This window comes from Homo sapiens, chromosome 22 (assembly GCF_000001405.40).
Source record: "Homo sapiens chromosome 22, GRCh38.p14 Primary Assembly".
Lineage (NCBI taxonomy): Eukaryota > Metazoa > Chordata > Mammalia > Primates > Hominidae > Homo > Homo sapiens.
This window is the reverse complement of record NC_000022.11, coordinates 20,299,627-20,327,207: the sequence shown is the minus strand read 5'-3', so window position 1 is coordinate 20,327,207 and position 27,581 is coordinate 20,299,627. Positions and strand designations below refer to the sequence as shown.

Sequence of the window (27,581 nt, the reverse complement as noted above, 5' to 3'; positions counted from 1 at the left end):
CTGGGATTACAGACGTGAGCCACTGCACCCAGCCCCTATTGAGAATTAATTTGTGATGTGTTATATGGTCTATCCTGAAAATGTCCCATGTATACTTGAGAAGTATGTGTATTATGTTGTTGGGTAGAATATCCTGTGTATGTCTGTTAGGTCTAGTTGTTTTTTCAGGTGTTGTTCAAGTGCTGTATTCCTTTACTTATGTCTGGTCTGGTTGTTTTATTCATTTGTGAAATGAAGACAAGGGACAAAATCCTAAGACATCCCCCTTAAAAGGGAAGGACCACCCACAGAAAAGGACTGAGAGACCCCCAGAATCTATAGCTTAGCTAATTGATGGTCTTTCTCTCCTGAAGTTAGTAAAGAGTGGAAAAGATGACTCCTTCTTCAAACATGAAGAAAGCAATCTAAGTCTTCAAAGAACAGGAAGCATGAGAAAATATGACACCACCAAAGAAACAAAATGAAACTCCAGTGGCTGACTCCAAAGACATGAAGATCTACAAATTGCCTGACAAAGAATTCAAATAATCATCTTAGGGTGACATCAGCAAGATGGCAGAACAGGAGGCCCTCCACTCACCTCTCCCCACACAAACAATGATCTGGAGCCATTCATGGACAAAACTGCCTTTGCAAGAGTTTTAATATCCAGGCAGGAGGTGGCAAAACTCTAGCAAAGCCCAAAACCAAGGAGAGCTGCTTTGAGAAGGCAGGTCCACACACCAGTGACAGGTTCCCAGTTGCAGACTGAAAGCAGCTTTGTCCTCCTATGGACTTGGGTCCAGCTCCACTAGATCATGTTCTTGCAACTAGCCCCATCCACTAAGCACCTAGGAGGAACCATGACCATTTATGCCCCCAGTAACAGGCCTTCTAACCATGGTCCTGACTGCAGAAACTAAAGCAGCCCTGACCTGGCTTCAGCCCCACTCTACCACAGTCAGTCTTGCCTGCCCAGGAATTCAGTGATGCCTTTACATGCCCTTGGTAACAGGCCTGCTGATCTCAGTGTCAGCTATGGACACTAAAGTAGCCCTGTGACTCCATTCCAGTCTTGCTTTGCCCGTCTGGGCACAGTCCAGCCCATCCTGGGACCTGGTGAAAGACATACCATCCATTCTCCTAATAAGAGGACCACCAATCTTGAACCCAAATGTGGTCACCAAAGCTGTCCTGTGACTTGGCTCTAGCCCTGCTCTACTGTGGTCTGGAGGCAGTCCTGTCTTCCCATGGACCTACCTAGTAAACCAGCAGGAGCTCAATCTGGGACCCACAGGGAGCTATACCAGTCCATGCCCTTGGTAATAGGCCTGATATCTGAAGACTTGACTGTAGAACTAGAAGTGGCCCCATGACCTGGCTCCAGTCCTGTTCAATCAGGGTATCAGAGGCAGTCCAGTTCTCCTGAGGATCCAGCAGAAACTGCATCACTAACCTATGCCTTGATAGCAGGCCTGCCAATCAGAGATTCAGCTGCAGACCAGGCAGCAGCCATGTGATATGGCTCCAGGCCCACTTGACTGTGATCCAGTCAAGGGATCCAGCAGGAAAAGGTTTGTACCTGCTGAAACCAATCTATAAAGACAGAAAGAGATTGGGCATGGTGGCTCACACCTGTAATCCCAGCACTTTGGGAGGCCAAGGCGGGCAGACCACTTGAGGCCAGGAGTTTGAGACCAGCCTGGACAACACGGTGAAACTCTGTCTCTACAAAAAATACAAAAAAATTAGCCAGGCGTGGTGGCACATGCCTGTGATCCCAGCTGCTTGGGAGGCTGAGGCAGGAGAATCATTTGAACCTGGGAGGTGGAGGTTACAGTGAGCTGAGATCACGCCACTGCACTCCAGCTGAGTGACAGAGCAAGACTCTGTCTCAAAAAAAAAAAAAAAAAAAAAAGAAGAGGTATTTGCTTCTTCATAGACATTAATGAAAGTCTGTAGATCATGAAGAATCAGCAAATATGACACTACCAAAATAAACTCATAAATCTCCTGTAATCAACCCCCCAAAAATAGAGATCTACAAATTGTCTGACAATTCAAAATAATTGATTTAAGACAGCTCAGTGAAATTTACTAGAATGTATATATCAACTCAATAATATCAAGAAAATAGTAGATGAACAAAACTAAAAGTTCAATAAAGATACAGAAATAATAAGAACCAAACAGAAATTCTAGAACTGAAGAATACAATGAATAAAATGAAAATGCAAGCTGGGTGCCGTGGCGGACTCCTGTAATCCCAGCACTTTGGGAGGCCGAGGCAGGCGGATCACTTGAGGTCAAGAGTTCAAGACCAGCCTGGCCAACATGCCAAAACCCCATCTGTATTAAAAATACAAAAATTAGCCAGGCATGGTGGCATATGCCTGTAATCCTAGCTACTAGGGAGGCTGAGGCAGGAGAATCGCTTGAACCGGGAGGTGGAAGTTGGAGTGAGCCAAGATGGCACCACTGCATTCAAGCCTGGGTGACACAGACTCTGTCTCAAAAATATATAAAAATAAATAAATGAATGAAATGAAAATGCAATAGAGAATTTCAATTGCAGACTTGATCAAACAGAAGAAACAGAAGAAAGAATCTGTGAAATTAAAGCCAGGACATTTGAACCCGGAAGGCAGAGGTTGCAGCGAGCCGAGATTGCACCACTGCACTCCAGCCTGGGCAACAGAGCGAGCCTCCATCTCAAAAAAAAAAAAAAAAAAAAAAAAGACAGAGGTTGCTCTCTGAATGCCTGAGGGATTCAGGGCTGAGTCCACCAACATTGTTTCATGAAACTCTACTCAGCCAGCCAGTGGAGGCATCATGTATACAGTCAGCACTCCACATATCCTCACTTCCTGAGCATCTACAGTGCAAACCGACACACTCATCACACTCAAACAGCACATGCCGCACGTCAACCCGAGCCTCCCTCACAGGTTGCTTTCATCTCTTTTTCTCTCTTCACTGCAAGTTTTTTGCCCAAATGCAATTAGACACTTTTTTTTACAGAGACAGAAACCAAAGAGTTTTAACTAGGCACCACTACAGCAGTGGCTGTTGACCATCGTCTCCTGGCTGGAACCAGGGAATCCTGTGGGTGAGGGAGGAGCAATGCAGCAGCCCCAGCTGACTCACTCTGGGGTGGATGGATGGATTTACTCACTTACTTACTTATTTATTATTTGATTCTTGTTCTGTTGCCCAGGCTGCAGTACAGTGGTGTGATCTCAGCTCACTGCAGCCTGGACCTCCTGGGCTCAAGTGATCCCACCTCAGTCTCCCAAGTGGCAAGTAGCTGGGACTTCAGGCACATGCCACTATGCCAGCGAATTTTTTAAACTTTTTGTAGAGACAGGCTCTCACCCTGTTGCCCAGGCTGGTCTTGAACTCCTGGCCTCAAGCCATCTGCCCATCTTGGCCTCCCAAAGTGCTGGGATTACAGGTGTGAGTCACCACACTCAGCCCACTCAGTTTTGAGTGGCCATTTGCTTTGACTCAGCAAACACTTCTGATGGTAACAAAGCACCAACTGGGTGGCTGGTTTCAATCCTACTCTTGCCACCCAACACCGCAACATTTTATCAACCTGGAGCAAATGCTCTCGGGTCCTGAGGAGCTGGCCACACAGCCCATTTTGCTGGTGGGACAGTGGGAAGCCCCGCCCTCCTCCCATCCCACACCACTTAGGCAAGAGCTGTGCCTAGGAAATGTCACCCGTAACTGGTCCGCACAGACCCTGTCTTCTAAAAGGGTGCTGTGCCTCCACCAGACCCCATGAGCAATACATTTGTCAAGCACACGCAAGACATGCCAAGGCCAAGGCCTGACTGATTTGACAGTAAAGACACAATGAGCCCCTCTCATTCAGACCTTATTACTCACAGAGTGAAAATAAGAGAAGCCTGAGGTGGCAGCTCCCTGCTGTCCTGGTGCCACACACTAAAAAGGACAACACTGAAACAAAAGGGGTCAGAGAGCATGCGTTGCGGGACACCCACTGTGGAGGAGCCCCTTGACACTGCAGCTGGGTGGCGTCCTCATCTGCAGCTCTGTTTTGAGGGCCGGGGGCAGGGAGCCTCACCCTCACCAGGGCCAGTGAGGCAGGAAGTGAGGAACAGTCTCGGGAGACAGACGGAGTGAGCGGTGGCCTGGGTGCAGCCTGATGTTCTGGGAGGAGCAGGCTTAGGTCAGGTGCTGTGTGCACCTCTGCATGGCCTATGGGGATCCTGCAATGGCTCAGGGCCCCACAGCAGAGCTGTTTCTCCGCCCACACAACAGACATACAACCTGACACATGAAAACTCACAGAGAAACACAGAAAGGCACATGTGACAAAGAGCCACACAAAAGGCATGCAGCAAAGCCTTTTGACACACGTGCGCGCACACACACACACACACACACACACACACACACAGGCACCCACTCCTTCAAACCTTGGTGTTTGCCCAGACACAGCTGTGTCAGAGACAGGGGACCTGCAGCTCCCCAACACACACCAGTCACCCCACACTAACCCAAGGTGTCACCAGCCAGCCTGGTGGACTCGGGAGGCCAAGTGGAGGTGGACAGTGGCCGCAGAGCAAAGGCCTTCGGTGGATACCACCCGACGGGAAGAGCCATGGGGCCCATCGTGTCCACACACACAGGGGAAACGCACGTCTGCGAACCAGCTCCCCCATTCCTACACATATATCACCCATCCCTGGGGCTCTGGAGGATGAGACCCCTCCTTCCAGACCAGGCCCTCCCTGAAGACCCAGAGGTGGCCCAGGAGTCCCCATGCCTGAGTGACATACTGCTCATGTCCATGAAAAAGAAAAGGAACTTTGTGTGTGTGTGTGTGTGTGTGTGTGTGTGCGCGCGCGCACAATGGAAGTTTATATATATATGTATAAAGTATATATATATATTCATATATATATTCTTTTAAGTTCTGGGGTACATGTGCAGAACGTGCAGGTTTGTTACATAGGTATACACGTGCCATGGTGGTTTGCTGTGCCCATGAACCTATCATCTACATTACGTATTTCTCCTAATGCGAAAGGAACTTTTTTATCTGAGGAATGTGAGCTCCCTTTAATTATCTGGCCCAGAGAGGCACTGGAATGAAACAGCAGTCACATCCCACTCCTACTTGAGCTAACGACCTCTTGAAGCCAATTGCTCTGTGGGTTCCAGACTGACACCAAGTAGGCATAAAAAGCCATACGCTGGACACCATAACTCTTACCCAGTAGTCCAACACCTTATAGCCAGTCACTAAGGGTTCTCTCTGGAAAGCAGTCAGAATTCCTGCTGACTTCATATCAGCCCACTCCTTGTCCCCTTCAGTCTTTAAAAACTTGCTTGTAATAAGGCTGAATGAAGCACTCCCAGGGCAACTTGGTGTGTCCTGGGCAGCTCTCTCAGCCTTGGCCCAGACAAACTCTCTATATGAACTGTGGTTCAGTTTGTTTCTTTAGGTTGACATCCACATTAGGGGAGCAGTGTTGCTGGGCTGGGGAAGCTGGTTCAGGTCAGACGTTGCACCAAGGGTTGGAGAAGGGGCCTTCCTGCATCAGCACCCGGACAAGGCAGAGGAGCAGGTGTCCAAACCCAGGCCTGGCCTGCTCCTGCTGTGGCTCACAGCCCCCACCCCACCTGGCAGACCCCGGAGCTGGCGACAGTGTTGCCCAGCTGGCCACAGACATATCATCACGTGGGGCTGCCCTATATCCTCCCAGTCTCCACACAGACACTCTTCATGGACTGGGGGACTGAGGGCAGGGACACTGGTGAAACAGGCAGGCGTCTTCACCCAGCTAATCATCCCACTCACCACCTCCGGGGGAGGTGACAGTGACCAAGCCCAGCCCCAGCTGGCTCCTGGTCACTCACTACAGACTCAGCTCCCACAATCTCGAGTCCCACCTCCAGCTCCTGCCATTCTGAGGGACCTGGAGGCCAGGGTGCCCGGCGCATGACCAGCTCTGGGTTGTGGACCGCCCTCCACGGCAGTGGCCTGAGCGCTTGTCATTATTCACTTTATTCATGCCTGGTTTCTGTCTGGAAGGGACCACAAGGACATGGCGTGCAGGGGAGCCAATCCTGCCAGGGACTGAGGAAACAGATCCTGGAGAAAACCAGACACTTTGCTGGCACTTCAGGGGGACCCCAGTTGGTTGGCTCAACGCCCCCTCTTCCCCATAGCCAATTACTAACCAATGTTCTCTCTGGAAACCAGTCATAATTCCTAACCTGGTCAAAGCAGGGTCATCTCACACAGCCCAGCCACCCAGCAGGCAGCTAAAGAGTGCCTGATGAAATGCAAGTCTGATCGTGTCTGCGTCCCCAAGCCCTTCCGTGCCCCCTGCTGCTCTATGGACAAGCCCCCAGCAGCCTCTGTAATGCACAGCACCCGCCCTTGTCTCCTGTGCTGGCTTCCGCAGCCTGGCCACACTGGTCCTCTCGCCCACCCACCTGACCTGACTCTGGCAGGGCCTTTGCAGGAGCCATTCCTCCACCCGAGCCCCTCCTATTAAAGCCTGTTCCTAGACGGTTCAGCCCCAGCCACCAGAAGCCCCCCAGCCCCGGCCCAGCAGCTGGCCTGTGGAGCGGGGAGAGCGCAGTCTGGGCTCACGGGCTGGGGGCCACGGAGGCCCAGATGGGGACTCTGGCTCCGACTGTCCTGACCCAGAGGCTCTAGGGCGGTCCTGTCTGTCTCACCCCGGGGGCGGGGAGGACGCAGACAGACCCCAGCGCCACTGCTCGGCCGCGGATGGTGCCTTAGACCCAGGTCCTGTGGGCTCTGGCCCGAGACCCCTGCCTCTGGGGAGGCCGGTGACCGGGACAGTCCACCTCGCAGGCGCGCCGGCGCGGAGCCCGGACCTCGGCCCGCAATGACTCAGCAAGGGCCGGTGGGATTCTCCGTGGTCCTGCGATATCCAGACGGCGGAGTCTCGCCTTTAATGTCGCGCGGGGAGCAGGCAGGTGCGAGCCTGGGCTGAGCAAAACCCTCCTTGGAGTCTCCGCAGAGGAGCGGGGCGCGCCTCCTGAATAAGCAGGCGGCGGGGCGCGGGGCAGGGCGGGGCAGGCGGCCAGGCCCTCTCGGGACTGTCGTAAAAGGGGGCGGAGCGCGCCGCGCGTGGGACAATCGTAAAAGGGGCGGGACGCGCCGCGCTCGGGATGTCGTGAAGCTGGGGGAGCTCGTCGCCGCCGCCGGCGGCTAGCGGGCGTCCGCGCCATGGAGCGCTACGCGGCCGCCTTGGAGGAGGTGGCGGACGGTGCCCGGCAGCAGGAGCGACACTACCAGTTGCTGTCGGCGCTACAGAGCCTGGTGAAGGAGTTGCCCAGGTACGCAGGCGGGGCGGGCGGAGGCCTGCGGAGGCGGCTTCGTTTCCCGCCGGGGCTCACCGCGCCCCCCTACCCGCAGCTCTTTCCAGCAGCGCCTGTCCTACACCACGCTCAGCGACCTGGCCCTGGCGCTTCTCGACGGCACCGTGTTCGAAATCGTGCAGGGGCTACTGGAGATCCAGCACCTCACCGAAAAGAGCCTGTACAACCAGCGCCTGCGCCTACAGAACGAGCACCGAGGTGCGCGGGGGCAGCGGGATGAGGTGCCGCCTCCTCCGGGTCGGCGCCTCCGGGCAGCTCTTGGTATCTGTGCAGATCAGCTCCTTCCTTGGAAGTGTTCGGAAGAGGTCTCTAAGATTGACAAAATCAACGGGCGCAGAGACTGAGACAGCGCCTTTTTGGTGATCAGTGGGTCCAACCAGTTTTGTTTTCAGTTGCGCAGCACCCACCTTCTTAGCAGAAACTCCCTGTTCGGGCTTCCCTGTGCCCCACGCGCTTCCAGACAGGATGGCCCTAGGCCTCGGTGCCTGATTGGCCTGCAGGCAGACTCTGGTGGTGGCGCTGACTGCAGCAGCATTGCCCCTCAGTAGTTGGAAGTCTGTTGACAGTTGTGCAGCAAGCGTCTTTCAGGGTCAGTTCCCTCTCAGGCCTCGCAGGGCCTCATTCCAGTTGCACATCAAATTCCTAAGCACTGTCTCCTGTGGCGCCCTCCCAAACCCGAAGAGCTTCCCACTTGAGCCAGGCCTGCTTGGTGGGCTTGGGAGCCCTTTCCTGCAAATTATATAGGGCAGGTCCCCCTGCACCATCAGTTTCCACCTTTGTTATTTTTCCCAAACTTCTTATTTTAGAAGTTAAAACATTTAGAAAAGCTGAAAAGATAGTATAGTGCATACGCTTGTGCTCTTCACTAAAGTTCAATAGTTAACGTTTTGCTCTAGTTCTTGACATCCCAAAATATATACATGTGACAGCATAGCATTCACCAAGAGTCTTCAGCATTCCTGGAGACCAGGATTTTCAACCCAGCCATGCTGACATTTGTGGCTGGGTAAGTCTTTTTGGTGAGATGCTGTCTTGCGCATTGCAGGATGGCAGGGGTACCCTCCCTAGTCCTGAAAACCAAGAATGCCTCCAGACAACCTGGGTGGTGGGGTCAACCTTGGCCTTGGATTGGGAGCAAGTGCTCTAGAACAAAACTGGTCTCCTACACAGCTGCAGAAGGTAGCCCCCTGAGAAATTAACTGTTCCGGGTGTCTCCTGACTTTCAGTGCACGGCCACATCATGGTACCTAACTTGTGGCAAATTGTTGCTTTATAAGTAAGGATCCAGTCCAAGTTCATGTACTACAATTGGTTACTTTGGTCTCTTTGCTTCTGAAACAGTCCCCAACATTTATTGTGGCATTGACTTTTTTGTAGAGTCCAGGGCATTCTAATTTTATAGAATGCCCTGCTCTTGATCTATCAGACGAAATGCTTCCTCTTGCATTTAACCTGCTTCTCCACTCTCTGGGTTTCCTGTACACTGGACTGCTGGTAGAAGCCTGATTAGAAGCAGGTTTAATGTGGCAAAAATTTCTCCTAGCAGTGCAAGGCCCCCTTCCCCAGAAGGCAGGCAGTGTCCATCTGCTCCAGGATTGGTGTGTTTTTATCAAGAATGGATGTTGGATTTTGGCAGTTCCCTTTTCGGCAGCTCTTGAGATGATCACGTGGTGAATCATTTTCTATTACTACAGTGAATTACAGTCACTTGAATTCCATCCTACTGGGTCGTGCTGTAGTATCCTTTTTATGTATGCTGGATTTGATTTGCTAAAATCTTAAGAATTTTTTGGTCTATGTTCATGATAAACTGTGGTCTATAGTTTTCATGTAATATCTGGTTTGGGTATCAGGGTTTTTGCCAGCCTTATAGGATGAGTTTCGAAGTGTTCTCTCCTCTTCAGTTTTCCAGAAGAGTTTGTGTAGAATTGGCATTACTTCTTCCCCTAAATGTCTGGGCGATTGTCTTTTTAAAATTTTTTATTGAGCTGTAAGATGTATGTAGTTTACTAATCCCAAGCGCATGGCTCATTATTCCTTAATGCCCAGACTGTGCCATGTGTGGCCAGTTGGGGGCGCTCCAGGCACCTTTAGATGCCGCCCCATCATTCTGTGAGCACTTTCTTGCTTTCTGGTTCAGGTATGTGTTCAGGCTCATCTTTTCTTGTTTTCTCCGTGTCTCAGTCCTGGAATCGGCCATTTTTCCACAGAGCTATAGTTCCTTATAGCAGGATGGGGAGTTTTAGTAACTGCCTGGGCCCAATGCTGTTTGTGCTTCAGAAGGTTTGGGCCAGGCCCTGGTTCCACCAGCAGCAGGCATGCCTGCATTGACTTTCTGCTTCTCCTGCTGATTTGGCAGGGGCGACTGGCTGCTCCTGCCTCCTTTGTGTTCCCTGGTCATGTCTAAGGCCAGGCCCCTTCTGCCCAGGCAGCCAGCGTGGCTCTCTTCTTGCCTTTTGGTTGTCTATCTAGTGGAATCTGGTAGTGGACCTGGCACTTGTAGCAATGTTTGATCAGTAGAGTGAAGGAGATGACATTTCCCTGCTTCCCTGTGTTATGGAGCTGTCTTGAGGGGGGCTTTTGGTAAATACCATCGTCGAGGTGTGTACAGAATGTGAAGAGACAGGAGATCGGGGAAGGCTGTAGGCACAGCGGGAGCCAGGCTACCTGCAGGGGAGCCTCAGGGGCCCTGGAGTTCCCTGGGGACTGGCCACCAGAGAAGAGCTGCAACATCAGGGCTCTTCCCAGGAACAGAGTGTTGGGTTTCACCTTTTCTTTTGGCCAGGGACCCCTCCCTCCTGGGGAGCTGTAGCCATTTGGCACTTACTGGTCACTGGCGCCAGCTGTGGGGTGCTGCATGTTCTGTTTCATGGTGGTTTATGTCCCATGATCGCTTCCTCTGTACATTCCCTTCAGACCAGACAGTTTGCACACATCTGTGTTTGTGCACAGTTTAGCAAGGACCGTGGAGCTTTACTTGATGGCTGAGGGTGAGCCCCTCAGAGCCACACAGGCTTATGGCACCCCAAGCTCATCCCAAACTTGGGCCTCCCAGGTCTGCCCACCCTTCTCCCTCTGGCGCTGTGCGGGGGCTGGGAGCTGCAAATGAGGGAGGGGCTGTCTACCCTGAAGGGCAGCACTGAGGGTGGAGGGCCCGACCACACCCCTGGTAGGCAGAGGCCCCACGCTCAGGGTCAGCGACCCCGCTCCTCCTGCTCCTTTCCCATGCCTTTGCCTGAGGTGGTCTCTGACACTTGAGTAGATGTCTCATGGCCTGTGGCCATGGGGGCCCTGAAGCCCTCAGACTGCAGCCTCCCTCCCGCCTGCCTCCTCCAGCTGCCCTGGGTCTGGGGCTGCAGCTTTGGCCCCACCTGGCCAGTCTTCCCCACCCCACTCTTTCAGTGCCCCGCACCTTCTGGAGTCCCCTGGAGACTTGCCACCAGATAAGGGCCCGGCCCTGGGTGACAGTGGGGTGGGAGGATGGAGGAGGCTGGCATCCTCCCCACTGCAGACACCCCTTTGGCCTGGCTGCTCTGCTGGGCTGGCAAGGCAGGTGCCCATGGGTGAGGGCTGCTGCCGAGTCCCACCGCCTGCTGACGGGCTCTCATCCCTCCCAGTGCTCAGGCAGGCGCTGCGGCAGAAGCACCAGGAAGCCCAGCAGGCCTGCCGGCCCCACAACCTGCCTGTGGTTCAGGCGGCTCAGCAGCGAGAACTAGAGGTACTGGGGGCGCAGGCAGGGTGGCCGGCCCAGCTCTCCTGTGGGCACCACCTGGCTCTGCTGACTGGGCTGAGCTGAAGGGGTGTGGGGGCTCAGGCATGGGTGGCTGTCCTGGGCCTGAGTGGGACACTGGAGGCCTAGTGAGTCCCACCAGGTGGCTCCTCTTTGCGGATACCAAGTGTGCTGGGGCTGGGTGGAGGTTGAGAACCCACCAGTGCTCCCCTGGATAGCAGCTCCTCGTGGGTTTGGGCCTCCACAGAGCAGGTGGCCTCAGGGGGGTACAAAGGCAATGGTAGGGTGTTGGGGCCAGGAAGGGGCCCATCCTTCTCCCAGGGAGCACAGGGACAACCAGAGACTGGCATGTAACCAACAAGCCGTGGGGCAGGGTGTGCCTGTGGAGATGTGTGTGTGGTCCTAAGGCAGTCCCAAGCCAGGGCATTCGTGGAAGCCCCTTGGGGCCCCCTTCAGGGGTTCACATGGCCGAGGAGAGGCCTGGGTGTGGTGAGGATGCACCGGTGGTGTCAGAGCTGCTGCCACTGGGGACGGCAGCAGGAGCATGTGTTTGAGCTGCCCTCACCTCCCCGCCCCCTGATGGCAGAGCTGCCCTCACCTCTCCCCCTCCGCGCCCTGGCCCCATGGCAGGCCGTGGAACACCGGATCCGTGAGGAGCAGCGGGCGATGGACCAGAAGATCATCCTGGAGCTGGACCGGAAGGTGGCTGACCAGCAGAGCACACTGGAGAAGGCGGGGGTGGCTGGCTTCTACGTGACCACCAACCCACAGGTCAGTGCCTGGGCCTGCTCTGCCCTAGCCCGAGTGCCCCGGGGCCCCATTCCATCTGGGGTTTTACTGCTGGTCCCTGGGGAGCCAGGCTCAGGGTATGGGGGTGAAGTGGAAGGATTGAGGCTCTGGAAAGGATTTCTGTGCCATTCCCAGCACGGAGGCCAGGCCCATTCCCTACAGGAGGGTGAGCCAGCCAGCCATGGGCACTGCCCACCCTCTCCAGGCCTGCTGTGCCACACAGGGCCCTCTTCTGCTCCCCTCCCGCATGCCATTCCGAGTGGCCCTGCTGGGGGCAGAGGCTCAGATTCCGAGTGGCCCTGCTGGGGGCAGAGGCTCAGATTCCGAGTGGCCCTGTTGGGGGCAGAAGCTCAGATTCCACCCTGTCCTGGCAGGCCATGACCAGGCTTCACAGGATGGTCGCCCCCGTGGGCTCACTGCCTGGCACCCTTGGGCCGGGATGAAAGGGGCCTGGGGGTCACTCTGGCCTTCATGGGGCCCCTCTGTATCCCAGGAGCTGATGCTGCAGATGAACCTGCTGGAACTCATCCGAAAGCTGCAGCAGAGGGGCTGCCGGGCAGGGAATGCAGCCCTGGGACTGGGAGGTCCCTGGCAGTCGCCTGCTGCCCAGTGTGACCAGAAAGGCAGCCCTGTCCCACCATAGCCACAGGCAGCAGAAGTCTGGGCAGAGTTCATCTTCTTGACCTTTGGCCACTGCCTTCCCAGCTGCCCGCAGGGGGTTCCCCCTGCTGAGGAGAGACCAGGTGGACCCCAGCTGCCTGTCACCCTTCATCTGGGACTTGCTGTCAAACCCTAGGATAGTCTCATAAAGGGGAGGCTGGGCCAGCCTGCTGCTGTCTGCTTCAGGACCAGGCAGAGAGTGAGGCTGGGGGTTCTCACACCTTACTCCACCGGGCACATCCCAACCTGCACTGGGGCCCACCCGAGCGCTTGTTCTGGTCTCAGCCGCTCCCTTGGCAGCTGCAGCCCCCATGCAGAAGAGGCTCCCAGGCCCAAGCTCTGTGTGACCCAGAGAAATAAAGATGCCTCAGTGTGGCCCAAATGTGGCTTGTGTGATAGCTGCAGGTTCTGCCATAACCGGGGCCCTGGTAGGGCCCCCACCTCTGTTGCAGCAGAGGCCTCTACCTGGGGGCCCCTTCCTGGGCTGTGTGCCCAGCCCACCACCCCTCCCCCTGCCTGGAGACTGGGACCCTCCAGCCTTTCCTGCCCCAGCCCTGGTCCCAGGATGCTGTCACTGCCATCTGTACAGGGGCCCCCATCCAAGCCCCAGGGCATGAGGACCACATCCAGCCTGCTTTGTGGGGCTGGGGGCTGGAGAGCATGGGAGAAGGCCCGGAGTGCAAGTATGCGCCTGCCGCAGCCTGGTCAGTGTCCTGTGGGAACCACTAGGAGGAGCCTGATGCAGGTCACTGGGATAGAGGACTCAGGGTGGCAGGAATGGCCTGAGGAGGAGCCCTGCGGGGAGGCATGCCAGGGCCACCTGGGGAGCTTGGCTTCTGCATCTGCATGAGTCCCCTCCGTGCTGGCCTGGGCCCATGGGCCCTGCTGGGTCCTTGTGGAGTCAGGGTTGGGGGTGTCCAGCACCCTGGGTGGCCAGGTCTGCGCAGGGCCTGGCCTCCAGGAACAGATGATGCTGGAAGCCAGAGTTTGGGATGAGACTTCTCTGACCCTGTCTGAGCCACTCCCTCTTTGTTGCCCAGAGCTGACCCTGTGTGAGGGCAAAGGGCTCTCAGCTGCAGGAACAGTGGTTTATTGACCAGGCAGGCCTCCCCAGCCCGGCCACTGCTCCCCGAGGGGCTCGGGCTATGTGGGCTGGCCTTGGGAGAAGGTGGACAATCCTCTAGGTCCAAGGACATGGGGGTCACAGAGGTGGGGGCCTTGGGCCCACACATCCGAGGAAAGTTCCTAACAGTTACCAGCGGCTATCCCAGGCAGGTATCAGGGTCAGCCCACACCTGAGTGCCCCCACCATTGGCAGGGCTGGGAGGCACCTGACTCCACCTCCAGCAGCTCTGCAAGTGTGGGGTGAAAAAAGGTGAATCTGTGTGAGGATGGGGTTGGCTGCAGCTGTGGTGATGGCCTGGGCGGGGGCGGGGGGGTGCTAGGTGGGGCAATGGAAGAGGTTGCCAGTTCGGAGCCACCTCAAGAGCTCCAGCCACAGCAGCTGCCGCTCCCGACGGGCACCCTTCACGAGGCTGCTGTTCTCCAGGGCGTGGCAGGACACGTATGACAGCACCTACAGCCCTATACTTGTACACAGGGTAGCCAGCCTGGCCTGCATGGGGGCAGATAATGCCATGAGGCCCAGGCCCAGCACCACACTCCATCGCACCAGGGAGGGCCCCATTCACCCAGCGGGAAGCTGATCTGGTCACACATGCCTAGCAGCTGTCCAAAGTACAGTAGGATGCAAGCGCAGCTCCTCCATCCTGTGCAGGTAAAGCCAGGAGCTGAGGGCTAATTCCAGGACACTGTCCCCGGTGCAGGGGTACAGGGCCCCTGTCCCAGCTCTGACCCTGTCCTGCCACCCCAGGTCCCCCATCTACACTCTCCAGACTTTATCCCCTTTGAAGTGGGGTTGGGATATAGGCTCTGTCCGGCCCTCTCCCAGTGAGGCCTCTTCCCAGCAGGACTCTGCTGGGCTGCCCTACTCTTCTCCCTGGGGAGGCCTCAGCCCTTAGCCAACAAGGCCCCCCTCCTGCCTTCCCTACCCTCCTCTCTCCCACCTCTCCTCTACCTCCCTTCTTGGAGGTGCAGCCCTTCTGGGGCTTTGACCCACCCAGCAGCCTGCCCCACAGGGCAGAGAAGCTCCTCAGCTCTCCTGCCATCCCTTCCTCAAGCCCCTCCAGGGTTCTGTGGTATGACTGGTCTCCGGCCCCTGCCCTCGCCCTCTGTGGGCTGCTGCTCTGCCCCATCCCCACAGCTGCTGTGTCCCACACAGCTGCCACCAGCCCCCGAGTCCTCGGAAGGCGGCTGCTCTGAATCGAGATGTGTTGCAAATGTCAAATACACACGGGATTTAGGAGACTTTCTAGAAAAATGCACGATGCCGCATTGCTTTTCTAAAATCAACTTGAATACAATTTGAAGTAATATTTTGTATATTTTGGGTTAATTAAAATGTATTCTTGAAATTCATTTTATCTTTTAACGTAGCTACCAAAAAACTTTAAATTACAGATGTGGCTTGCATTATACATCTATTAGCACTGCTCAGATACTGGGGTGGGGCCTCCACTCTGTCCTGTCTTCACACCACCCCGTATAGGGTCTTACAAAGATTCTCAGGGTTTGAAATATCCACGCAGTGACAGTTCTCAAGTTTCATCTCCAGCTTACTATATCCAGGTATCCCGACTTCGCTGGTCTGCACAGCACTGGGTCCCCCAGCCTGGGGCGAGTTCCGCCTGCTGCTCACGCATCACCCGGGTGACTGGCAGTGCCTGTGCTGTGCTTCCCACTCCCTCCCCGAGGGCCTCACCTCCCCTGTTCTCCATCTGCCCCAGCCCTGGCTCCCAGAGTACCCATCGGCCAGAGGCCCTTTCCCTCCATCCCTGGGCTGGGCTCCAGTGTCGGGACCACCCAGTCTAAAGCAGGCACCCATCTCTGCCACATCGCCCTGGCTTCCATCTTGTGTCTTCCTCAACCCCAGGACATGAACCCGAGAGCCGGGTGCCACTGCTGGCTGCCCCCTCCCCTGCTGGTGTGCACAGCCTCTGCCATGTGACTGCGGCTCCTCCCAGCACAGGACAGTGGCTCACTCCACCTGGCATCTGGGCTTGGCCTCGTGAGGCACTTTGGCCAACAGGGAGGTACCAAAGGTGACACAAGCAGAGGCTTGCCCTCTCCAGGCCTTCTGGAAGCCTGAGCCCACCACGTGCCCAAGCCTGGGCTGGCCTGTGGGACGCTGGACCCAGGATGTAGTCTCCTTTACTACACCAGCCATGAATGAGCTCATTAGGCCCCACCGGCCCCAGATCACAGACGCAGGAGGGACACAGGCACAGCCAGCAGCAGAAGCATCAGCTGAGCCAGCCCACCCCTGGCCTACAGAACATGCCACTGTTCCAGCCTCTAAGTTTGGGGCTGGTTTGTTCCTTGGCCAAAGCCAACTCGGGTTGTTTGAGGGTGGGTGGTGTGGCAGTCTGGGCCCAGCACAGGACAGAGCAGCTGCCATAGTCTAGAACCACTTACCCATGGGAGGGGACCCCAGCTCCCCAGAGCTCCCCAGCCACCCACAGCAGGGGCAGAGCTGAAGCCTGCAGGGGTCCAGCCTCTCAGGCAGGGATGTGAGCATGGTACTGGGGGAGCCCGGCACAGGGCCCTTGGGGCCAAGAGGAGAGAGCCCGGCTGCCACTCGGGAGGGGGAAGCTGTGTCCACTGGGGAAGCCACTGCCACAGCAAGATAGTAGGGACAGACAGGTGCCGGGGCTAAGCTGGAGAGAGGAAGCCCTGCTGAGGGCGGGCTGTCCTTTCGGAGTTGGATGGTGATGTGTCTAGTCAGGCTGTGAGTCCACCAGCATTGAGAGTCCACCCAGAGGCTGGGAGTCCTGATTACAAGCTGAGAGGAACCCCCACCAGCTCCCGAGTGCTGGGCAGTGCTGGCCACCAGGCCTGTGCGTGTGGAGAAAGTGAGTCTGTCCCATCACCGACACATCTATGACAATTAGCAGAGGATCAGGGCACAAAAATGGGTGTGCTGCAATTTCAGGCCATGAAAAAGTAGCAGCATCGTAAACAAAGGCTGAATGTGGACATCACTGAATGATTTCAGAGCCGTGAGTCAGCTCCCGAGCAGCACCAGGATGTGTCCTGTTGGCTGCAGCCCTGGCCCCAAGCCTGGCCCTGTGGCTTCACAGCTTCTTGGGGAGCCCCTTCGTGCCACAAGTCATGGATCTGGGGCACCCTGCCCTGCTGAGAGTGGAGCTCCTGCTCAGCTCCTAGGAAGGCGAGAGCCAGCGAGGCCACTGCCCAGGCCTCCGAGGGTTCTAGGGGGTCCCATCCCTGGGAAGGCGGAATCTGGGAGGGGAGGGGGACCTAGGACCCCATTGTGTGCATAGCTTGGGCTAAGGCATGAGATAAGACCAGGGTGACAGTACAGGAGTATCCAAGAACTGACTTCACCTAACTTCTGCATTTGACTTGTTAGAATTCTACCGAAGTTGTGCTCCATGGGACAAATGTTTAAAGAGAAAACAAACCGTTACATTCCAGATGTAGTTAAAATGTTAAGGGAACTGCTTATAAATGAGGCAGCGCTGTGGAGGCCTCCTGAGGGACTGGGCTCCAACACTACATTTGTACCTTTCAGGAGCCATCCGAATACCCTGATGAAATTTAGTTTTTTAATTGTGAAGTTTAATAAGTCAAATGTTAATTTTTAAAAGGCTGGGTACAGTGGCTGATGCTTGTAATCCCAGCACTTTGGGAGGCCAAGAAGGGAGGATCACTTGAGGCCAGGAGTTTGAGACCAGCCTGGCCAACATGGTGAAACCCTGTCTCTGCTAAAAATACAAAACATTAGCCAGGCGTGGTGGCACATGCCTGTAATCCCAGCTACTTGGGAGGCTGAGGCATGAAGAATTGCTTGAACTTGGGAAGCGGAGGTTGCAGTGAGCTGAGACCACGCCACTGCACTCCAGCATAGGTGACAGCGAGATTCTATCTAAAAAAAAAAGTTAATTTTAAAAACCAACGTAACTGCAAAGAGCCATTGTGCTCTCACAGTCCGATGTCCAGAATGCCAGCGGGCCTGGGCCTGCCCACTGAAGCCACCCTCCAGCTCATTTCACCAGCCTTTCCCCACAAATGCCCGACCACCCAGCAGGTCACTCTGCCCACCCTGAGCTCTGCACTGCTGCCACCTCTCCCCAGCTGGAGGAGACAACGGCTCAGGTTGGGGTTTCGGTGCAGGGTGGGGCACACCTACCTGCGCAGTGCGAAGCGCACTGTGTCCTCATTGTGGGAGGCCACCATCACCTTGGCCTTGGCGTTGTGCTTCAGCTCCTCCAGCACGTAGTCCAGGCACCTGTGAAGAGTGCCATGTGAGCCCAGTTCCAGGCCTGTGGTCGCCTGCACCTCTCATTACCAGCTGCACAGAGAGGAGGCCGAAGGCAGACCCAGATCCATCCAGTGAGCTGGCTCTTTCCAAGGGTATCCACAGGATCAGGAGGAACAGGAGCAGCATCTGCCCCTCCCAGCACCTCATGAAAAAGAAAGACCAGCAACCAAGCAAAAGCGATGTCTGGGACCAGACAATTCACACAGAACCAGCTGGGGCACAGCGTCCCTGCATCAAACATGCCGTGACTCTGGGGACCAGCCCAAACATGCCCATAAGCCTCATGACAGACACAGCTTTGCGTCTGGGGAGGGATCGTACAGTGCACCCCTGGCCCTGAAAGGAAATAAAAGGGAAGCAGGTCCCTGTAGGGCACAGTGGGGGTGGGCATCCCGGTGCACCAGGAAGCCCGAGCAGTACGGCCCTCCTGCAGCGAGGACACTCAGCAGGCTTGACCACGCGCACGTTCTCTCTGACCCAGCAATTCCATTTCCAGCAACCTAGGACAGCTGCATCCTCAGACACAAAACCCCTGACGGCCCGTGTGTACCACAGAGGGTGACGGTATGTCCAGCGAGTCCCTGTTACAATAACCAGACTGAAAACCAGTAAGATCAAAGATGCTGGACACATAGCCCCGGGCACTCCATGCTGGCTGTTGACAGCACCACTCTGCAAGCCCACACAAGAGGACCCAGATGGAACGCGAAATGAAAAACACATCGGGCAGAGGACACGCTACAGCGCAAACAACAATGGCGGAGATGTGTGCGCTGTGGCACGACATGCACAGCGGCTGCAGGAGGGGAGCTGGAGCCAACCAGGAGGCACTTGGGGTCTCTCTGAATTTGCAGCATGCACACACGCCTCTAAGAGGAAAAGCCCATGGTTGGCCAGCCTGTGCTACATGAAAAGATCACCAAGAAACTAGAGCAGTAAAAGCAGGTGCAGAACAGCTGATGGGCGATCCCACTGTGTGAACTGAAAAGCAAACAGGCTGAGCCTGCAGGGTGGGGAGGACCGAGTGTTCATGCACATCTCTGGATCTAAGTGTCTGCAGGAGCAGGCTCAGGGAACTGTGGCCAATTTTACTTTGTTCAATAGGCTTTTCTATATTTATAAAAGAATAACCTTAATGCTTTTGAAAAAGTAACACATGACATAAAAGCTGAGGAAATACCAGTTCTGACCTGGGGACACATGTGGCTGACAAGTTCAGTCTCCAAGCCTCTCCCTCAGGCCTGGTTTCTTGGCGCCCTGCCCTGAGAAGACAGAGGGGTGGGAGAGCTGCGCACCTGTGGTACATGGTGTTGGTGGCCTCGTACATGGGGTTGATGGGGTCCTCATATCCGATCTCTGCTGCACAGGCTCGCTCCTGGGCCAGGTATGCGCCCCGCACCGGCTTGGCCCCAAAACACCAGCCCTCACGGTGAGCCAGCTCCATGTCCAGGGTCACATTGTCATAGGCATCCTGTGGGGCCAGGGCCAAAAGTCACAGGGAGCCTGGGCAAGCCCAAGTGACAGCAGGATGGGGCCTTCCTGGGCCCAGGTGCAGTCACCAGGGCTGGGCAGCAGCTGCCTGGGGAGGTGCAGCTCAAGGCACCTGGACCAGGTGTGGGTGAGGATGGTTCTCCAACCTCTGTCTCCAGGGAGCAATGGCAGTGGGGACATCTGCAGCTTCCTCTGTGGCCTGTGGACAGCCCTATGGGGGCAGCCCAGGCGCCAGCAGCCATCATGTGCTCCAGACTCCCAGGCCGACCAGGAGGGGTGCATACTGCATGCTCCTGCCTGGACCCCCTCCCCATGCCACCCTGTGTCCTCTGGGCACCCGGCTCACCCCTGAGAGCTCTGGACCTGCTAACATCCCTGAGCAGTTTGGGGCCCACAGGCTAGGATGGGCTCCCTGAATACATGTGACATCCTGGGTGAGTCTTTCCGGGGAGGGCCCAAAGCTTTCATGAGGTTCTTAGGGGCGCTGAACTGAAAACACGCTGGAGGAAATGGTCATGTGACACCTTCCAAGTTTGGGGTGTCGGGTACATCTAGTGGACCCTCATAAAGATCGTTGTCTTCCTCTTGCTCCTTAGACACTCTTGGCTGGTTCTGAGAACCAGGGGAGAGGCTGCGGGCAGCGGGCCTTTCTTGCTACTCTGAGGCAGTCACCCTGGCCTCGGCCTCCTCTGCAGGCCTGGCTGTGGCCACCACCTAAGGGGCTCTTTCCTGGACCCTGGGGCCCGCTGGGTGAGCTGTGCTGCAGAAGACCCCAACAACCCCTTGGGGGCACGGCCCACTCCCTCCTCCATCCCGTGAGCTCCCTGGTGGGTGCTGAGTATAAAACCAGGCAAATGCCAGGGAGCTCAGATGAGAGGAGCCCCTCCTGTGGGGTCTCCAAGCCCCAAGGCAGGCAGGGAGGGGCTGAGCGGGGGCTTGCCTTGAGGTAGCACTGGTATGTGTTGAAGATGAGCAGCTTCTCCACATTGAACTTCCGCTGCATCTCCAGCGTCAGGCGACTGATGGCCGGCTGGAAGTAGGTCTGCTCGGCATCCACCATCAGCCGCACGCCCATCTCTGTGGCTTTCTGAGAGGCGCAGGGGGTGGGAGAGTGGGAGCAACTATTGCTCAAGTGAGGCAGGTGCCCTCTTCTGCATGAGTCCCGGGTCCCCAAGGCCCCAGCCCTCTGCCCGAGCGGGACAGCTCGCCTTGGGCAGGACATCCATCCGCTGTAGCATCCTCGTCATCTGTAGCTCCTCCTCCTCAGCAAACCGGGACAGCAGGGGCTCCAGCTGTCCTGTCTGGGGGTACAGCACATGGTCAGGCCACAGCAAGGGCCAGGAAGTGCCACCCTGAGGCCCAGGCTAAACCTCTCTTAGTGTTCCCAGCCCACGGGAACCCTCTCATGCAGGGCCGGGAGGGAGGGCCACCTGGACAAGCAGCACAGAGCCCCGGAACCTCCAACGCAGCCAGTGCACTGCCCTACGCGGGCCCTGGGGGTACCAGGAGGGAGCTCAGTGCCCATGTCAGTGGGCCCCAGGCTCAGTCCAGGCCTGCACTCCGAAGTGTGTACTCTAACAGCCTCCCCAGTTCTCACAGAGGCCCCACCATTGTGGGAGGGCCCCCTGCAGCTCCCATGTGACACTGAGGAAGTGAACACTGACCACCCAATCGTCAAACAGAAGGGCTCCACCCAGAGCAGGAAGAGGGCCCAGGAGGAAGACCCCTGGCTACAGGCAGACAGGGCAGTTGTGCAGCACGTGCTGACACGTAGCCAGGGACCAGGGCAACCGCCAGGATGAGGCCTTCAAGGAGCTGGTGCTCAGAGGCCGTGGGGACCCATCCCGCAGGGCCTCCCGCTCACCCCTTTGCTGGCCCCAGCAGCCTTGCCTCACTGGGCACAAGCAGTACCACTCTATCCCTTGCTACACCATGCTAAAGTCTCCAACAGCTGGTGGCCTTGGTGCACAGCCACACTGTACGCACTGCGCCCCGAGGCTCTGGGTCGGGGGCTCTGAGTTTGAGGCTGGGCCCTTAGTGGACTGGGGCTAGATGTGTCATGGAAAGCTGCCTCTGCAGGATGTTTTCTGAAGGTGCTTCTGTTCTTTCTTCGAATTCCAGTTTAGGTTGTGGTTTCAAGCAGTCAGCCAGGTCCTGGGCCCCCCTCCCACAGGCAGATGAGTCTCATTCCTCTCCCCGCAGTATACAGGCTGGCCTGGTGACATGCTTCTAACAAACAGAACTTGCCAGAAAAGACACCGTGTGACTTCTGAGGTGAGGCAGGAAAAGGTCACCCAGCTTCTGCCTGGCTCTCACGTCTCAGGGGACACTGGCCCTTAGAGCCCAGCTGCCATGTTGGGAAAAAGCCCAAGCCACAGCCAGCACCAACTCCCAGACATGTGAGTGGGCGCCTCCCCCAGGTCCCAGCGCCACCACTCTGTGAGTACAGCTACCCAGGAGACCCCAAGCGAGGACTGCCCAGCTGAGCCCTGTCAACCCCAGAACCATGAGGCAGAAGCAGAGTGGCTGCTGCCGTTTTAGGCCTCTGAAGTTTGGGGTGACCTGATGCACAAGACAGATGACTTGGGGAAGGCCCCCAGACCCCCTCTCCTTGTGGTGTTTTAAGGCTCCGCGTGGGTCTCTGTCCCACCAAGCACTCTGTGGACACTAGTGGGTTTGTCTTCTTTTCCCCCTGGACCATAGGGGGTCTGTGGGGCCATAGTGTGCAGTGATCTTGGTCATGTTAAGTTCCCAGGGTAGGCAACAAGAGAAACATGTGGCAGGCTGAATTCCCTTCTTAGCGCAGCGCCCTGCTGAGCTGGGCCTCACTGAGGAGCGGAGGTGTTACCTGTCCATTGGGGACTACCAGGTGCTTGGACAGCTTGGTCCTGCTGTCGATGAGGCTGCTCCAGTCCAGCAGGTCCACAGTGCTGAGGGAGGAGGCACATCAGCAGAGTTGGCGACCCCACCTGTGGGTGCTAGGGTCGGGTGGGGGATCCAGGCCCAAACCTGTCCGTTCACCAACCACCACAAAACCCACCTCAGTGTTCAGTTTTAAAAGACGAGAAGGCTGAGGCAGGAGAATGGCATGAACCCAGGAGGCGGAGCTTGCAGTGAGCAGAGATCGCGCCACTGTACTCCAGCCTGGGTGACAGAGCGAGACTCCGTCTCAAAAAAAAAAAAAAAAAAAAAGACAGAGGAAATGTAAATATTGTTTTCTGTTTAAAAATTTAAAACCAGTGGCGTGCAGTAGCTCAAACCTGTAATCCCAGCACTTTGGGAGGCTGCGGCGGGCAGGTCACTTGAGCCCAGGGGTTTGAAACCAGCCTGGGCAACATGGTGAGACCTGGTCTCTATAAAAAATAAATTAATTAAAAAAATTTAAAACCAAAACACAAACAGTCCTGCATCTAGGCGGCTCTGAAAACACTGAGTACCCTAGGGCTGTTTTGGGCTTGTGGAGGGGCCGAGCACAGGCAGCCAGGCAGGAGGCGGACACAGCTCCGGGCGGCCAGGGAGGACACAGTGGGCAAGGCTGGCAGTGTGTGAGGGGATGGCTCACTACTGCACCACCCCAGTCACCTCCCCACTTCAACTGGAGGCTCCTGGTGACCTGGGTCCCAGCCCCTGGCCCCAAGGATGGGGCATGGGGCTCTGATCCTTCACCTGCCGGCGTGGACTCCAGGGAGGGCTGAGAGTGCCACCTTTGCTCTGGACCCAGATAATTCTATAAAGAGCCCTCTATGGGGTCTGTGCTGGCCCTGTGTCTCCCCTGCCCAGCCCAGCCCCAGCCTCAGGGACTCCTGAGGCCATCAAGTCCTGCTGTGTGAAAAGCAGTTCCTTCAGCACTGTCATCCCAAGGCCCACCCTCTCAGGCAGGGCAGCCAGGACTGGGAGACGTCACTGGGGCTTGGCTGGAACCATGGCTGATGCTCGTGTCCTCTCAGCCTGGGGGCTGCTCTCACCCAGACACTCCCAGGGTCTCTGCCGTGAACCAGTCCTCAATCTCAGCCCTGGATGCGATGCCCATCTTTGCGACACTTTCCTTGAGAAGTGAGAAGGCCTGGATCAGCCCCATTCGCTCACATTTTATTCTTCCCCCCACCCATTGGCCTCTGGTGCTGTTTCTGGCTTTATTACATCGTTAGTAAGAACAGGATCCATGTCTGGTTTGTTTCTACTGCATAGACAGGTCTATTCCCACCCCGCTGCTGATGCACGCCCACGCCCTGCAGGGCTGGGTCTCCAGCCCTCCTGCCAGCATCTCCCCTCTCTGTTCAGAGTCCCTCCGACCTCCTCCTCCCCACCAGGCCAACCCCAGCAGCTGCAGAGTGAGCCACGTGCCCTGGGTGAGTTCCCAAAACCACCTCCGACCACTGCCCACCATGCCCCCTGTGCGCCCCCACGGTGCCCACCCCCTCACAAGCCACAGGAGTGGGGAAGGGGAAGGCTGCCCCACCTGCAGCACCGCCACCTCCAGCTTGGTGTTCATGCCTGGCCAGCCCACAGCAGGCTCCTGACCCCACCCCACCCCGCCCATGAAGTTCTTGCACATGGCGCTCTGGAGGCCCTGTAGAGATGAGAGGGGGCTCCGTGGTGGGGTTTGTGTTTCCATGCAGGTGTGGGACAGCAGTGGGCACAGGAGCTGCCTGTCCCCTGCCGAGCAGCCCCCACAGGCTCCCTGCCTCGGTTTCCTCCCCTGTGCCACCAGCACCACAGGCTGCTCACACATGGGTCACAGGACCCAGAAACACCGAGTGTGGCTAAGACAGAGACACCCCAGCGAGGCCCCCTTGCTCAGGCCTCTGCCCCAGAGCCCAAGTCTCTCAGGAACCTCTGACGCAAGCGCAGGCTCCTGCCCCCGTGCAGCCAGCCTGCAGTCCCACCCTGCCCTCCAGGCCAGCCCTCCTGCAGCATTCTTGCCCCTGACACTTCTTTCCAAGCAACAACCAGAAATGTTCCTTTAAAGTGAAAGCAGATCTTACCATCTCATCTTGTTTAACACCACCCCAGTGCAGGGCCTTCCCCTTACATCTGCCCCAGGAGAACAGGCAATGGATGAGGAGAAAACGCCCCTCACCCTGATGGCCCAGCATTCAGCTGGCCACTCTGACCCCCAGCCCCCGTCAGGAGGTGGCTTCCAAGCACTGCTCAGAAGGGCCAGATGCAGTGGTATGCCCTGTCATCCCAGCACTTTGGGAGGCCAAAGTGGAAGGTTCACTTGAGGCCACGAGTTTGATACCAGCCTGGGCAACATGGTGAAATACCATCTCTACAAAAAATATGAAAATTAGCTGGGTGTGGTAGTGTGCGCCTGTAATTCCAGCACTTTGGGAGGCCAAGGTGGGGGGATCACTTGAGCCCAGGAGTTCCAGGCCAACCAGGGTAACATAGTGACACCTCATCTTTTTTCTTTTTTTTTTTTTTTTTTGAGACGGAGTCTCACTCTGTCACCCAGGCTGGAGTGCAGTGGAGTGATCTCGGCTCACTGCAACCTCTGCCTCCCGGGTTCAAGCAATTCTGTCTCAGCCTCCCGAGTGGCTGGGATTACAGGCACCTGCCGCCATGCCTGGCTAATGTTTTGTATTTTATTAGAGACAGGATTTCACCCTGTTGCCCGGGCTGGTCTTGAACTCCTGAGTTCAGACAATCCACCAGCCTCACCTCCCAAAGTGCTGGAATTACAGGCATGAGCCACCACGCCCAACTGTGAGACCTCCTCTTTACAAAAATTAAAAAAAAAAAAACTTGGCCATGTGTGGCGGCATGCACCTGTAGACCCAGCTACTCAAGTGGCTGAGGTGGGAGGATGGCTTGAGCTCAGGAGGTCTAGGCTGCAGTGAGCTATGATCACACCACTGCACTCCAGCATGGGCAACAGAGCAAGACCCAGTCTCATTTGAAACAAACAAACAAAAACATAAACAGGCCTGGGACCCGCTGCCCCTGACGGAGGGCTGCTGGGGCCAGCATGGGGCTGTGCAGGGTCGGGTGTTTCTAACACGGAAGGACACTGGGCCTTAGTGACCTCTGGCTTCTCTACCCCTGGAGCCCTGCTCCCCCCATCTCTGGCCCCCAGAGGCTGTGTCAGGAAGGGATTCCCAGGCAGAAGATGCGGCACCAGCTCCCTGGGCACAGTGGCTCATGCCTGTAATCCCAGCACTTTGGGAGGCCAAGGTGAGCAGATCATGAGGTCAGGAGATTGAGACCATCCTGGCCAACATGATGAAACCCTGTCTCTACTGAAAATACAAAAATTAGCTGGGTGTGGTGGCGCGTGCCTGTAATCCCAGCCACTCGGGAGACTGAGGCAGGTGAATCGCTTGAACCAGGGAGGTGGAGGTCACAGTGAGCAGAGATCGCGCCACTGCACTCCAGCCTGGTGACAGAGCGAATTCCATAAAAAAAAAAAAAAAGAAAAGAAAAGGAAGGAAGGAAAAGAAAAGAAAAGAAAAAGAAAAAAAAGAAAAAAGAAACCTGACCTGGTGCCTTCCTAGCCCCCACTACATCCTGGCCACAAGGTGGGCATGGCTTCTGCATGGCTAGTCTCTGTCCCACTCAGCTGCCACCTAGAATGCCCGTCCTTGCCCTGTGGCTGGCCACTCCCTCCCCTGGCATTCCTGCCCTGCTGCCTCCTCCTCCTATTGCAGCACCACCAGCACTGGCTCCTCTTTTGGGATGCCCCTTAGATGTGGGCACTCCCCAAAGCCTCCACATCGCCGTCCCTCACCTTGCCAGTTCCTCTACCTGGGATGTCCCTTCTCGCCCTCCTGTCTCCTTGGCCGGGGCTCTCTATGGCCAAAACTTGACCTTAAGACATCCTTGTGTGCACAAGCACAGCAGTGCCCTCCCAGAGCCCTCCATCTGTCCAGTTCAGCTCCTTCTTCCTCCACCATCCTCCGCACTCCCGCCACCACGGGTCCTAGGCTGACCTTGGCGCTCCCCATGGGATTCGGGCCAACAGCATCTGACTCTGAGTTCGTGGATCCCTGCCCTCACCTCGCACCCGCCGAGGCCTCACCTAAGCTCAAGTGTGGCTCGGTGCTTCTCATCTCACACCGTCCCCCGCCTTCCCCCGCCTCCTGTTGAGGCCAGGGGTGCAGCCCCCGACCTCTGTACAGTCTCACCTGAGAAATCAACACCACCAGATACCCTGGCGCCAAAAAGCGGAACCTTGCAAACTCTTCCCAGGGTCACCTGGAGATAACCGTCATCTCTAGTACCCCTAGGCTGATGCGGCTAAAACAGTGTTCTGCTTGTTGCCCCCCACCACCGCCACCAAAAGCCCTGACACTTTTTAAAGTTACCATGGGTGAGTTCAAAGCTGGGCGTTTGAGGGGCTTCCCATTTTTCCCCAACAGTGTTCTCAGAGTGGCCGTGTCTGGGAAGCGGCTGGGTCCCGGGGATTGAACTCTGGGGTTCCAGGCTATGAGCCCTACACCAGGCTTCTCTTGTGTCAACATGAAGAATACTCCATTTTAAATTCCAAGTGATAACTCTGTATTCCCACAAGTGGTATATATCGTAAATATTAAAACGACCATTGTTTTTAGTTGGTAGACATCGAGAAGTAGGAAAATTCGCGATATCAGAAAGGGACTGCAGGAAACGCCTCCCTTCCTGGCTTCCCTTGCTCCAGGAGATGCTTGGGAGGCACCCGTTTCACGCCAGGAAACTCCGTAAAGGCTCCCGGGACGGGCAGAAGCCCCGCGCCCCGGCTGCACCCCGCGCACCTGCTCGTGGCGCGCCAGCAGCGCGGGCCAGGCGCAGAAGCGCAGCACCAGCAGGCTGCGCGCCAGCTCCCAGGTTCGCCAGCTGCAGTACGCCTCCTACGCGTTGCCGAAGTCCACGGCGGGCACCAGCGGCCGCACTGCCCTGGCCGACCCACGTCCTGGCACGGCCCCTGGGCCCGCGGCGGGCTGCTCGCTGGCGGCCGGCGCCGTGGACAGCGGCGCGAAGCGGGGAATGTAGGGGCGCAGCGCGGGCAAGACGCGCCGCAGAGCCATGGCGGGACGCCGGTACCCGCCCGGGCCGCTTAAGTATGCGCTATTGGTCCCGCCCCGCCCCTCCCCGCCCCGCATGCCCCCTAGCCGCGCTCTCTCCTTAGAAGTCCCACGCTCCGAGCCGCGCCCACTCCTC

The 27,581-nt window shown here is 56.7% G+C and overlaps 1 protein-coding gene and 1 pseudogene across 1 annotated transcript, besides 8 other annotated features; one reads left to right on the top strand and one right to left on the bottom strand.

The window, feature by feature from the left end:
- Positions 6,075-6,862: an enhancer, noted in NCBI's record as "H3K27ac-H3K4me1 hESC enhancer chr22:20307869-20308656 (GRCh37/hg19 assembly coordinates)". NCBI's record gives its function as "activates a minimal SCP1, AML or CMV promoter by ChIP-STARR-seq in naive H9 embryonic stem cells {active_cell/tissue: H9 hESC(naive)}" and the evidence as "EXISTENCE:reporter gene assay evidence [ECO:0000049][PMID:30033119]".
- Positions 6,742-6,791: a silencer, noted in NCBI's record as "silent region_13495". NCBI's record gives its function as "represses an Ori minimal core promoter by ATAC-STARR-seq in GM12878 lymphoblastoid cells {active_cell/tissue: GM12878}" and the evidence as "EXISTENCE:reporter gene assay evidence [ECO:0000049][PMID:35858748]".
- Positions 6,982-7,111: a silencer, noted in NCBI's record as "silent region_13494". NCBI's record gives its function as "represses an Ori minimal core promoter by ATAC-STARR-seq in GM12878 lymphoblastoid cells {active_cell/tissue: GM12878}" and the evidence as "EXISTENCE:reporter gene assay evidence [ECO:0000049][PMID:35858748]".
- On the top strand, positions 7,148-12,970 carry DGCR6L (DiGeorge syndrome critical region gene 6 like). Its single transcript, NM_033257.4, has 5 exons — positions 7,148-7,329; positions 7,409-7,569; positions 10,989-11,089; positions 11,732-11,872; positions 12,384-12,970. The coding sequence occupies exons 1-5, from the start codon at positions 7,220-7,222 to the stop codon at positions 12,531-12,533; spliced, it is 663 nt and encodes a 220-aa protein (NP_150282.2). The 5' UTR covers positions 7,148-7,219; the 3' UTR covers positions 12,534-12,970.
- Positions 7,242-7,471: a silencer, noted in NCBI's record as "silent region_13493". NCBI's record gives its function as "represses an Ori minimal core promoter by ATAC-STARR-seq in GM12878 lymphoblastoid cells {active_cell/tissue: GM12878}" and the evidence as "EXISTENCE:reporter gene assay evidence [ECO:0000049][PMID:35858748]".
- Positions 7,508-7,802: a silencer, noted in NCBI's record as "tiled region #9836; HepG2 Repressive DNase matched - State 1:Tss". NCBI's record gives its function as "represses a minimal TATA promoter and a strong SV40 promoter by Sharpr-MPRA in HepG2 cells {active_cell/tissue: HepG2}" and the evidence as "EXISTENCE:reporter gene assay evidence [ECO:0000049][PMID:27701403]".
- Positions 12,681-13,234: an enhancer, noted in NCBI's record as "H3K4me1 hESC enhancer chr22:20301497-20302050 (GRCh37/hg19 assembly coordinates)". NCBI's record gives its function as "activates a minimal SCP1, AML or CMV promoter by ChIP-STARR-seq in naive H9 embryonic stem cells {active_cell/tissue: H9 hESC(naive)}" and the evidence as "EXISTENCE:reporter gene assay evidence [ECO:0000049][PMID:30033119]".
- Positions 13,235-13,790: an enhancer, noted in NCBI's record as "H3K4me1 hESC enhancer chr22:20300941-20301496 (GRCh37/hg19 assembly coordinates)". NCBI's record gives its function as "activates a minimal SCP1, AML or CMV promoter by ChIP-STARR-seq in naive H9 embryonic stem cells {active_cell/tissue: H9 hESC(naive)}" and the evidence as "EXISTENCE:reporter gene assay evidence [ECO:0000049][PMID:30033119]".
- On the bottom strand, positions 13,625-27,454 carry PRODHLP (proline dehydrogenase like, pseudogene; annotated as a pseudogene).
- Positions 27,217-27,526: a silencer, noted in NCBI's record as "silent region_13492". NCBI's record gives its function as "represses an Ori minimal core promoter by ATAC-STARR-seq in GM12878 lymphoblastoid cells {active_cell/tissue: GM12878}" and the evidence as "EXISTENCE:reporter gene assay evidence [ECO:0000049][PMID:35858748]".